General features: G+C 38.1%; 1 protein-coding gene across 13 annotated transcripts in view; it reads right to left on the reverse strand.

Annotated features, from left to right (window-relative positions):
* Nucleotides 1-13,878, reverse strand: part of TENM1 (teneurin transmembrane protein 1) — an 828,410-nt gene that overhangs the window by 580,034 nt on the left and 234,498 nt on the right. For all 13 annotated transcript variants that reach the window (XM_017029210.3, XM_017029211.3, XM_047441760.1 and 10 more), the window contains one exon: nt 7,601-7,881. In XM_017029210.3, the coding sequence (XP_016884699.1) occupies nt 7,601-7,817 (217 nt within the window). In that variant the 5' untranslated portion in view covers nt 7,818-7,881. Of the gene's footprint in view, nt 1-7,600; nt 7,882-13,878 lie in introns of those variants that run through there.

The raw sequence follows: 13,878 nt of genomic DNA on the forward strand, positions 1-13,878 counted from the left end.
CACTTACTACCTCTGTAATATTGGGCAAGTTACTTAGCATCTCTGTGCTTATTTTATTCATTGTAAAATGGGTATAATAATGATCCCAACCTTATAGCATTGCTGGGAAGATTAAATAACAGAATCCATTTAAAGTGCCTTACTTCCGGTCTGTTGTTGCATAAATGCTAGATATTTCTCTCATAATCAATGTCACCATGCCCTAGGCAGAATACACGGCATGGTTCTAGCTTCTAGACCCCCATGGTACTTTACATATACCACTATTATCACATCAATCATATTGCATCACTATTGCTGATTGACATGTACCTTCCCAACTGTACTATGAATTTATTGAGGGCAAAGATTGCTTCTTACTCACCTATAAACTTCATAGTTTAACAAAGAACTTTGTACAGATAAGCAAACCAAAGTTTAGAAATAGGTTTTGTCCTTTTTCAACTCTAATTGATTGACAATGCTTGCGTGAAATGCCATTTTGAAAGGGATGTGAGGCTGAAGCTGGTCTCAACAGGGGAAAGAGCATCATGATTAATTAGGGATGTCTTCCATGGGACAAATAGAGGGAGCAGTGGCACAAGTGTCATGGACATTCCATTCCAGTTTTAGATGCTGTGTAAGTAAATACTTATTGAATGAATTTTCATGAACAAATGTTACTAGTTGAAAGACATGAGCCAATTAGAGTTATTGTTAAATAACTTGGCTAATTTCTCTTACAGTCTAAGTTCTTTCAGAGCAGTCATTATGGATTTTGTGCTAGAAACTTGTGACATCTAGAAGCATAGTATGCTCACAGCAGACAATTCATTAAATGTGATCAAATTCTGCTGAAATTTTCATTTCATAGGTTTTGCCACATTAATATTACACCTGCCATCTGTGATCTTTGCCATGTAAATACAGATCCTGAGATTAAGAGTTCTTTCAAGGATTTTGAAGGAACTGATATCTAAACTGTCTACATATAAGCAAACAATCATTTAAACTACTGCTAAATGCCTGATATAAGAATAGAGAAATGCACTTCTCAAATTTTGAGGGCAAAGACTGCACAGGTGGCAGTGCTGCTTAAGCATTTTTCCCTGTGGGATGAAGTGGCTTATCATACTGGGGCAAAAAGAGAGAAAATCATAGTCACTAGGGTACATTTATTTCAAGATTAACTTCATTTACCTAGAACAGTACCTGGTACATAGTTTACATTAAATAAATGCTGATGCATAAGTGTATAAATGAACAAATGGACGGATGGATAGATGGATGGATGGATGGATGGATGGTTGGATGGATGGATGAATGGATGACAGATAAACTTTGCTTCCATGTAATCTTGGCAAAAAAAAAAAAATTGGCAGTTTGGGCTGGGCATGGTGGCTCACACCTGTAATCCCAGCAATTTGGGAGCCTGAGTCGGGCAGATCACTTGAGGTCAGGAGTTTGAGACCAGTCTAGCCAACATGGCGAAACTTCGTCCCTATTAAAAATACAAAAATTAGCAAGGTGTGGTGGCACACGCCTGTAATCTCAGCTACTCAGGAGACTGAAGCAGGAGAATCGCTTGAACCTGGAAGGCGGAGTTTGCAGTGAGCCAAGATCATGCCAATGCACTCCAGCCTGGGCGACAAAACTCCAACTCAAAAAAAAAAAAAAAAAAAAAATGGCAGTTTAAATTTTTTTCCACCAGATGGCAATAATGTGAGATATAGGTTTAGGTTGTAATCCTGAAGAGAAAAACAACCAACCAACCAAACAAAAATGCTATTCGGAGAAAAAGAAGCGTTAAAAGAACAGATTTAGATGACAGAAATGAAATGTTTGTGTCATCTGTAATACCTTAGGAGTCTATGACCTTGTGAGACTTGTATCAGGTCCTCAACATACCTCCTTTTTATGCATGGATGACTTCTCATTCATAATTACTTTGCAGTAAAATGGAGATATTCAAAAACTAATCTTATCTATATAAAATTATTGGCCAATTCACACAACTAAAATTATTACCCTTGGTATATATATCTCCATGCATTTATATTTTCATTTTTAATACTAATTTCTTAGTTAATTGATGCCTCCCTTGGATGTGAGGCTGCTTGGGAAAAATAGCTAGCCTGTGTGCCTCTAGGAAATCTTCCCCTGCTATTCAACCTGCCAAAAGTCATATGAAATAAGCCTGCCTAGGGCTCATTCATCCTGTTAGCAAAGAATTGTGAATAATATTATATTAGTGTCCATCCCTTAATTCAAAAGCTTTTGGAAAATAAGAAATTCAGTTTTAGAGTCCAGCATTCCACATATACATGGAGTAGGGCACTGCTGTTTTGGAAAATAAAGATAATATGAACATATCTTCAGCTGGTATAGAGTATTTTCTCTTATTAATACTTCTCAAAACAAGTCTTCAATTGGATAAAACATTAACTTCCCTAAAAAGTGGAAATAAGCAGACTCAGGAATATTTCATGGTAAATTATAGAGCATATCATCTGCCCTTTTCTAATGATAATCAGAATGAAAAGGCGTTTAACCTCCTTATAAACGCTTGGTCACTGGAGGCTGGCAAGGTTGTTGAAGAAAATGAAGGGAAACTAACATTTTTTGAATTCCTGAAGATCATCACTCTCATGATGGCATTCAATACTTATCACAACCTCCTGACATAGGTATGGAAGACAGTGTGGTATAGTGAAGAATGGGGGCTTTAGAGCCATCGACTTGATTTCTGATCCTAACTCTCACCTCTCCTTTAGCTGTGCAACCTCTGGCAAGTTATGTCTCTCCAAGCCTCAGTTATCTCATCTGTAAACTGGGGATAATAGCGCATACCTCATCAGGTGTTTATGAGGAGCAAATGTAAAGCACCTTGCAGAGTGCTAGAATAGAATAGGTACAATTCCAAATTTATCATTATTATTGTGATGATGGTGATGATGATGAAGTCAATTTTGCAGAAGAAAAAGCAGATTCAGAGCTGAAGTATCTTGCTTAAGTTTACATAACTAGTAAACTTAAAAGGCATCTAGTACCGTACCTGGTACCATAGCAGGTGCCCAATCAACATTTTGTTTGCATTCATCCTTCCTGATCTAAAACTCAATTATTTTTTGAGATCTTCTTCCTTTAAAATAATGAGTTAGGCTCAACTTTACCTTGGTTGATGCAAGATTCAACTACTGACATACATTTGCAAAAATTAAAAACATTTTTTTCTGACTCACAGGTGGTAATACATGGACTAAGACAATAAAGAGGATTCCAGATCTTACAAAAAAAGATGATAATTAGGCCCACTATTTCGCCTAACATAAGATAAGTCATTTCTCCTTCAAAGGGGTACATATTTTCCCTCCTAGGTGTCTCTACTGATTGGCAGTCAGTGGCAGATGAGATACTGTTTCCAGACTTTTAGTTCCCGGGTCTGTATACTTTATTTTATATAAGTCAGTGCACTGAAGGATGGTGCTGGCTAAAAATATAAATTGGTTCAAAATGTGTTTATGTCAGTTCATGGATGATAGATTCAGGTTTTTGTCCTTGGCCTTTTTCTAGTCTCAACCTTCTATACACTCTCCCTGGGTAATCTCATCCATCCCCTGGCATCTCTATTCTGAGACACTGATGAGCTCAAATCTACTTATAACAACAGCCCAGATCTGTTCTGAATCCTAGACACACTTTTCCAATCGCTGATGGGAAAAGCTACCTGGATGTCATACCAGCATCTTAAACTTAACATGTCTAAAAAGAAACTCATTTTCCCTTCCAAACCTGCTCCTCCTGCTGTGTTCCTTCTCTTGGTAAATTAATCACTATTCTCTCAGTTTCCCAAACTTAAAACTTTAAAGTCATCCTTGACTCTGTTATTTCCTTCAACCTCAACCAGTAATCAATTATGAGGTTCTATCAATTCGAACACACTTATATCTCTTGAGTGTGTCTCTTCATCTCCACAGACATTGTTTGGACCTCTAATGCGATTCTTAGCTCTAGCCTAATTCAGTGGCCTCACAGATTTTTCTCCCTGCATCCCATTATTTCCAGTTGCAATCAATCTTCTACACTGCTGCCTACACTTCTACAATTCCCCTGTATACACTTCTTATCCTAAAAATTACAATTGATCATGAAATTCTCCACTAATTGAAAGCTTTCTTTTCTGATGCTTAAAGGGAATTTTAAAAAACTCCTAAATTGGGCATGCGCGACTTCACAATCTGGCTCCAACATTCCTTGCTCTAGCCATATTGAATGTTTCACCATTACAGGCCTTCTTCAGAGCTGTATACTTTGCACTTGCTTATCTGCTCTCTAGGAATGTCCTTCTGGTAAACTTTTATTCAAATTTTAACTTAGATCAAATATCACCTTTCTATGTACTCTGATTCCTCTAAAGAAGTTAATTGTTTCATTCTGTGTACTTCCACAGCACCTTTTTTATCTGTAAAACCACTTCATACATTTAATTGCAATAATGTGTTTTGAGTGTCTATTTTCTCCACTGCACTATAAGTTTCCTGCAAGCAGTCATCTCCATCCTCAGCATTGGCTTCAAGGTCTGACACATATTAATTTGTAAATAAAAGCTTATTGAATAAAAAGAATCCGTTGAAAGGACGTTAGAATGACATCATAGAGACAAACTTCCCTCACCCCAAATTCCTTTTGATGAAACTGCACAGACAAAATCTGAGGCTGGCCAGCTCTTTATACTGACTCAGCATAAAATTGCTTATGTTTTTAGAACTGTCACCAGAATGCATTCTTATTTCTACTCACAATATATTAGGTCAACCACTCTACACCCTAAACCCACAACCCATAAATCACAATTGTAAATTCATCTTCTGTAAAGACAAACTTACAGATAAGTATTTTAATGAGAACTAGGCATTTCCTAAAGCCAAAAACATTTCCATAGGAAATAATTTCCCAATTGTCAGGCAGAAGAAGAGAATTATTTTAGAACGAACTTACATGATATTAACTGAAAAAAATGGGAAATATTAAAATGAATTCCTTGAAAAGAAAGATATAAAACTTTTACCAATTACGTTAAGGGATGAAAATGAGTAATATAGTTAACATCACAAATATTTAATGTATATTTGTTAGAATGAATATCTTAAATTTTGGCTCAATTTAAGGTTGTTTTTAAAATGTAAGATTCCAGTACTAATTAGAGTACTGTAATTTTCATTTGTAATAATTGCATTTGACATGGCAATATTTAAAGAATAGTTTTCAATGCATGATAAGCACTTATATTTCAGTTGATAGCAACTAATTCCTTAAATGAAACAATTATAAAGCATATATTATATGCAAAATTTTATGGAAAATAGAGATCTGTCATGATCCCCATCTTTATTGAGTATACAGTCTAGGAGAATATATATAACCATAAGAAGAGGTTAAAAAGAGGCCGGGCATGGTGGCTTATGCCTGCAATCCCAGCACTTTGGGAGGCCGAGGCGGGCAGATCACATGAGGCCAGGAGTTCGAGACCAGCCTGGCCAATATGGTGAAACCCCATCTCTACTAAAAATACAAAAACATTAGCCAGGCATGGAGGCGCGTACCTGAAATCCCAGCTACTCGGGAGGCTAAGGCACGAGAATCACTTGAGCCTACGAGGCAGAGGTTGCAGTGAGCCAAGATCATGCCACTGCATTCCAGCCTGGGCAACAGAGTAAGACTCTGTCAGAAAAAAAAAAGTAAAAAGAATGTATTTTCAAAGTTCACAGAGGAAGATCACCTACACAGTGAAACAGTGATGATGTTGGGGGTGATGGTGAGGCAAGGATTCAGTGGGAAAGGATGCTTGTAAGCTAGGCCTTGAAAGATGGTTGAATATGCATAAAGAGAGATAGCAGCAAATTGTATCCCAAGAAAGATGTAACAGCACAGCAAAGGGATTGAAAAGAGATGAGGTGAGATCCCGGTAGACCAGTAAAGAAACAAAAAACAGTCTAGGTGAGATATAATGAGAGTAATGATCATGAAAATGGAAAGGAGAAAATGGATTTGAGAGATGTAGAGATTAACTCTGCTGGATGAGGAAACTGATTAGATATAGTAAGTATGTGTGGTTGGGAGAATGGGAGCATCATTAACAGATGTAGGTGATACAAGGAAGATGAGTGGGATTAGGAGTGTTAAGATGATTGCTTCCACTTTAAATAGACTGGTTTAGAGGTGTCAGTGTATTATTCATTTGGAAATGCCGGGGAGGTTAACTGAAAATTTAGGACTAGAGTTTAGGAAGGAGGTTAGGTCTGAAGATAAATATTTGAAGGTCACTCAAATAGATGTGATCATTGAAGCCATCTGAGTAAAAATATTTCGGGGTTCAAGCAGTAATCTTCAATCTTGAGCAGGAATCAGAATCCCCTGGGGATTTGTTAAACCACAAATGGGTCCCACCCCCAGGGTTTCTGACTCAATATGTCTAGAGTGGGGCTGGAGAATTTACACTCTAAAAAAATTCTCAGGTTTTGCTGTTGTTGCTAGTCAAGTCCACACTTGGAGGACATAGAAAATTAAGTCTATTACTTTTTATCTCAGCATTAACTTATTCATAAAAAAGATAACTTGTGCCATCCGGGCGCGGTGGCTCATGCCTATAATCCCAGCATTTTCGGAGGCTGAGGCGGGTGGATCACGAGGTCAGGAGTTTGAGACCAGCCTGACCAACATGGTGAAACCCCATCTCCACTAAAAATACAAAACGTAGCTGAGTGTGGTGAGGCGCACCTGTAATCCCAGCTACTCAGGTGGCTGAGGCAGGACAATCGCTTGAACCTGGGAGGTGGAGGTTGCAGTAAGCCGAGATTGCGCCACTGCACTCCAGACTGGGCAACAGAGTGAGATTCTGTCTCAAAACAAGACAAAACAAAACAAAACAAAACAAAACAAAAAAACAAAAAACCTTGTGCCAATGTCAGTATCTTCTACGTCATTAAAATAGTGTCTAACACAGTTTATCTATCAATTGGAACAGGAAATCGTATTTCTACTAGTTTTTTGTTAGAAACTGTCTTGTCAATCCATAATTGAGAAACTAAGACTGCCCAAAGAATATGCTCCAAAATATGGCTATTGTAGGAAGGGTTCTAAAAAATTCTTACTTTCCTTTCAGACTCGGCTACACAATGTTTCTACATTACGGTGATAGACTTTCTGGAACCCTGTTTGGTGGTCTCCACTAACCTGCTAGCTTTGTCAGCAGCCAAATATTTATTTGAGACTTCTGTCCCATATAAGCAATGGCTTGAAAAGCACTTAGCTGTTTACTTTTCATCTTACTATAAATTATTTATCCTTCAGTCTATAAATGGCTATTTGTAGGATTACACAAATTTTGAATGCTCTGATAAGAGGACTGCAGCATCCAAATTCATGCATAATCCATAAAAAGCACATGTAACCTACAACCTCAGCTGGGCTGACATATGCAATAGATTCTCTGAGCATATATAAGCAGTGCGAATTATTAACCAGTTAACATTAGCAAATTTATTTTTGAAACAAAGTTTATGCACACAAGCATTCTCTAATGAGAAATAATATTTGTTATAAAGATCCAATAAAAACATACCTTGAGTAGATTTTTCTACTTCTTTCCTCTTTCTACTCTGGCTATTGTAATTCATCCTCAGCTCCTGGTTATACTCGTGCAGGGTCTCCCTGGAGTTGTATGACTGTCTTGGTTTTCTTCCATCTTCACTCTCATCAGAAGAACTGGTGTAAGCTAGATCCATTTCATGCTTGACTTTTGGTAGAGGCTGGTAGGGTTTGCAGTCAGTTTGCTCCATCTCTGATTAAGCAAGCTCAGTTTCATGAAAAAAAGGATGAGGAAGTCCTTTAATGCAAGCAGTCCTGGAAGAGAAAGGGAAAAACACAAGCCTTCTTAGATTTATCTTTTTGTGAGGAAATGCATCTGGCAGATTCACAATTGGTCCTGATAATACCATCAAAGGAGAGAAGTAAAAGACAAACTAGATGACATGAAGCTAGCCGGAGGCAATAATAACACTCTGTGTTACATGCATACATTGTCAAGCATTAAGGATTAAGCTGGAGGTTGCAGCATCAGAAAATACTCAAGGTAAAAGAGAGACAGCCTTCAAAAATATTTGTATTGGAATTCAAATAGAGGACAACGTTGTTCTATGGTGTGTGCGTGTTTTTAATGTTAAAATCAGTGGTTAGATTAAAAAACGTTATCAGATTTGAAAGTGGTGAGGAGTACAAAGATTAACCCTGCACATTCCACATTTGAAATGAAAACTGGTAAGAGAACTACATTCAGAAAGAACACATTCTTGCTTCTGGTTTAATATTACATTTAAGACAGGGGCTCTGAGTAAGGGAAGGATTCTGAGTGAGAGAGCTCATGGAATAAAGTATCCTTGAGGGGGACTGAACTCTTTGTGCTCATATTGTGGCTTTTGAGCCTCAGGCCTGCAGAGCATTCTTAATGAGTTAGGTGGTGGTAAATTTTTGTTCTTCATAGTACTGAGAGGATGTAAACACTTCTGGTGAGTATACTGGTACAGCAACAGCAGGATCTAAATCAGTTTTGGAAATAGCAATTTTAAACTTCATGATAAATCACCGAAAGAACCCCCTTTCCCCATAGAATGCTGAGCTAGGAGCCACTGAAGGTCTTAGGGCCAGTAGAGGCATTAACTGCTCTACTTAGCACGGAGAGTTTCGAGACGATCAAGTGTCATCTGAGATGTCAAAGTCCTCTGTAAATTTAAAAGCCCTGTAAAAATGTTCTTATTTTCATTCTTTACATTATTTTGTCATCACCATTTCAGTCCACTGTTGCAACTTTGCAACTTGGTCTTTTCATACAATGTTTAAAAATGTAGTTAGAAACCAATTAACTTTATGATTTTATTTTGCAGTGAAACTGACTCTTTTATTTTTCTTCAGCTCTTCACCATATGTATTTTCAAAGAAATCTATAGACATCCAAATGGTGGCTCCTCTATCATGTACACTATCTCATATTTTGGAATTCTTATTGCATTTATGCCAAGCACATAGAACACAGAAATCATTCAAAAAAGGCTTTTAGCTTTTCAAAGTATGATGTAGGCTGATTTTTATTGATCAATTTGATTGATTGATTGATTGATTGATTTAGAGACGGAGTCTTGCTCAGTCGCCCAGGCTGGAGTTCAGTGGTGCGATCTCGGCTCACTGCAAGCTCCGTCTCCCGGGTTCACGCCATTCTTCTGCCTCAGCCTCCCGAGTAGCTAGGACTACAGGCACCCGCCACCATGCCCGGCTAATTTTTTTTGTATTTTTAGTAGAGACGGGATTTCACCAAGTTAGCCAGGATGGTCTCGATCTCCTCACCTCGTGATCCACCCGCCTCGGCCTCCCAAAGTGCTGGGATTACAGGCGTGAGGCACCACGCCCGGCCTATGTAGGCTGATTTTTTAAAAAAGGCTTACACATTTGACTGATATATGTTTTAAATGGTTCTTCTTTTGTGGTATGAACAGTTTCACAAGTCAAGGTCTTCTTTTCCTAATCAAATGTGAAGGTCTTGAAGGCAGGATGTGAGTCTTAATGTCTCTTTATATCCCCCACACCGCTAAGTATTACTTTAGGCACACACGTAGTAGAAACTATTTAACTCCTGAACCTACAAACTGTGTATGGAGACACCTAGTTTGGTTTGAACTAATATGAGAGATGAGCATGCTTAAAGAGAAAGCAGCAGATATGAACATATACATATATATATATATACACACACCAATGATTCAACAACAATCTAATCTCACGCCAGTATATTGGCTTCATATACTGTCTACACACCCATAACTTCTCAGTTTATAGCTTCAGCATGGGTCTTGACCCTGAGCCACAACTTTGAATATCCAACTGCCTACTCAATATCTGTACTTGGGTATCTAAAAGATACGTCAAACACAGTATGTTCAAAAGTGAGCTCTTAATTCCCACCCCTTTCCAAACCTAATCCTTCCATAATATTCTTTATATTGATATTAATAGATGGCCACAAGGCTCTTCTGTTTGCTCAGGCCAAAGAACTTGAAGTCATTTTTGACTCCTGTTTTTCACATCCCACATGCAATCCATCAGTAAATCCTGTTGGTCTTGCCTTTGAAAGGTATCCAGAATCCAACCAGATCTCTTCAATTTCCCACTACCACATCAGTTCAAGCCATCATATCCCTCCTGGATTATTGCAATTGTTTCCTAATTGGTTTCCTTCTTACATTACTGCCCTCCACACCGCAGCCAGAATAAAACTAAGTCATATCACGTCTCTCCTTTGCTCAGAAGCATGTACCCTACTCTACCTTTGCTCATGTACCCTAGCTGCACTAACCCTCTTGCTGTTTGTGAAAACACCAGGCATATTTGTGCCTCACAGCCTTTGCAACCTCCCATAAAAAAATACCAAAAACTCACGCCTGTAATCCCAGCACTTTGGGAGGCCGAGGCGGGCGGATCACGAGGTCAGGAGATCGAGACCATCCTGGCTAACACGGTGAAACCCCATCTCTACTAAAAATACAAAAAATTAGCCGGGCGTGGTAGCGGGCGCCTGTAGTCCCAGCTACTCGGGAGGCTGAGGCAGGAGAATGGCGTGAACCTGGGAGGCGGAGCTTGCAGTGAGCCGAGATCGCGCCACTGCACTCCAGCCTGGGCGACAGAGCGAGACTCCGTCTCAAAAAAAAAAAAAAACCAAAAAATGGTACGTCTCGTCTTTCTTCTTGTCTTTCAAAGAACTTATTACCAAATTACACACTATATATTTTTTATTTATTTGCTTATCATCTGCCATCTGTCTCTGCCCACTAAAACATAAGCTCCATGAAGGGAGGCATTTTTATCTCTTCTATTCATTGCTATATGATTCAGAAAAAGCATAGTACCTTGCATATAGTAGAGACTTGGTCAATACATGTTGAATGAATAAATAAACAACTGTTGAAAACTCTCAAGAGGGGCTGGAGAGAACGTGGAAATGCATAAGACATAGTCTCGGCCCCTGAGGAACTCATAGCTTAATATACACAATAAGTAAACAACTCTACTACAAAGCAGAATGAAGTGGCTTGTATACACAAAAGACAAAAACAGTAATGTTTGAGCACTAAAGATGAAGATATTGGAAAAGGATTGCACTTGATTCAACTAGTTGTCACCACAACCATTGAAATTCCATTGAGCATCTATAACACCAGTTTTAATCTCTTTCTTCTTAGGTTTCCATAACATGATCTTCAGGAGATGCTATGGAAACCTAAGAAGAAAGGTGGACAGTTGTCTTACTTTGCTACAAACAGTGCAAATTGAGAACTGTACCAATAGCAGGCTTCCAGAGATGTAGTTTTACAGCCAAGGATTAGACTTTCACCCAGAAAAGGAAGCATCTATAAAATTCACCTAACGTCTAAACAGGTCTTTCCTTTCTACAAATGCCACAGCTTCCCCGGTCCATCCCATATCCAGCCACGTCTTTTCTTTTCATGGAACGCCGATGATTCATACAGCTTTAATCTAGCCCCGAGAGCTTTCTTAAGCTATGTGCACCTATTTCAACTGTAAAGTGGGCAGCTTTACTCGAAGGTCCCTTAGGTATGGCAAGTCAGTATTTCCTCCCTCCCAAAATGTGTTCATGTTCTCAAACTTCCCCATCTCTGTTAATGGCCACATTAGTAGTTCAAGTCAGAAACCTAGAACTTACCACTCCTCCATCCACACAAGCATCTAGCTAATTGCTAGGTCGCATTGCAATCTCCAGTCTCTCTCTTCCTTTCCATCCCAGTTGCCACTGCTTTAGCTCAGTCCCTCATCAGTTCTGCCTGAACTGTAGATGTTCCTTCCCCCATACCCTTCCTGCTCCAACCCATCCTCCACACTGCCACTAGGGTCATCATCACAATGACCAATGTAAAGTTCTTCAGTGGCTGTGAGAGCTGAACTATAAAAGAAATGTATTAGTGGACTAGATACTGGAAACAACAAGGGAAAATAAATTTGACAAGGGTAGTTGCATTATTAAAAATATACAAAGATAGTCTCAAATTTCTAAGCTGCTCAAGAATATTAAATACTCAAAGTAGAGTTTAGGTAAATAAAAATGGTTGCTGAGTGGGATAAAACATATATACAGAAACTTTGAAAAACGTGCTTAGTTTTTCTGTTAAAGTAAAACAACACCAAAAAATTAAATCTATTAATTAAAATACAAAAATAAAATTAAAAGGTAAAAATAATTCACCTAACTTCATTTCAACGAATTCATTTCAACTTAAGCTTTATTAACTTAACTTCATTTCAACTTAAACTTCAGTTGATTATGAATCTCTACTAATCTTAATGCCACTCAAACCTAACGATTTAAATTTAAAAAAGAAAAATGTCTCACTTTGAATGCTGAATGTTGTGTTTTGGCAAATATGATTTATCATGTTAAAATCACCCTTAATTTTATGCATGGAAACCTAGGCATTCTCTTTTCCCTCCATAGGTTTATTTGTAACGAGAGAGAGAGAAAGAGAGAGAGACTTTCCTATAGCCATCTGGAAACCCTTTCAAATTTCCAATCATAACTATTCATAGCCATGAATCAGCTAGGAATGTCATATCTATTCAAGGTTATTGAGTGCCCTTGGAAGCACTCTTCCTTCAAACCACAAAAGTAGTATAAACTAAGAGAAAATAATCCTTTCCTGCTCCTCGACACTCAACGATAACTTTTTGTCCTAAAATTTGTGTCAGTGGACCCAGGTGACAAGGAAAACTTTCCAGGTCTCTCAAAGCATGTGATATGGAGGTGCACACAATTATGTGTGCCTAGAGTTGTGAAATCATAACTGTGATATTTGTCAAAGGCTTGAGAAACAGAGTTTGAATTCACTAATAAATAGCTCATTTTTTTCAAAATAAAAAAGCAGAAAACATTAAGAAAAAGATTAATATTTTAAATCCACCAATGGTTGAAAGCATAATAATTCTGAAAGAATGTTGTTCCAAATACTCTATGGTAAAGGATAGGTTCCCATGTGCTTAATTGACTTTTTCAGTCAGTGCCCATCATGGCATCCTGGGGGTCCACTGTCAAGTAAATGTTATTTAGACATGATGATGAAACTGTCAACTTACAGAAAAATCAAATATATATAAAATGCTATTCACATCCAAATAATATCATTTCTATATTATTTTGATAATGATAAACTCTAAGACAAAGCAAATGTGTATGGAAAACACATGCTGCTATGGAACAGAGTGCAAAACAAAGAAGTCAATTATAGTTTTTACTGCAGAAGATGCCTTCAGATAGTCCACAAAGTATGAATTCAAATGTCAACATCTGTGGCTTGCTCTTGTGCTTTAAACTCTCTACTTGCTAACAAGACAAACTCTAAGTGACTTTAGAAGACAGCCATGGAGACTTATGTTCATTTATTTAGTCACTGTAAGGTTAGGGAGAGACAACTTAGTATGTGGAAATCATTGACCTTCAACTGACAGAATTATCACAATAAAAGTAACAGCAGCAGCAGCTGTAGCAGCTAACTCATAAAGCAGTTATCAGGTACCAGGTGCTATATTAGTGCTTTTCCTACATTAACTCATTTAATTCTTGTAGCACCCTGTGAGGTAGGTACTGTTTTAAATGCCCATTTTGCAGATAAAGAAAACCAAGGAACAGAGAAGTTAAGTTTCTTGCCAAGATCACACATGTAGTAAACGGCAGGACTGAGATTTCAATTCCTACAGTCTGTCTCCAATGGCCCGACTCTTAACCACTCGTCTACACTGCTCTTCAGAACATGTGGCAGAATGATCTTAGGAAAATCACCTCCCCTT

This window comes from Homo sapiens, chromosome X (genome assembly GCF_000001405.40).
Source record: "Homo sapiens chromosome X, GRCh38.p14 Primary Assembly".
Lineage (NCBI taxonomy): Eukaryota > Metazoa > Chordata > Mammalia > Primates > Hominidae > Homo > Homo sapiens.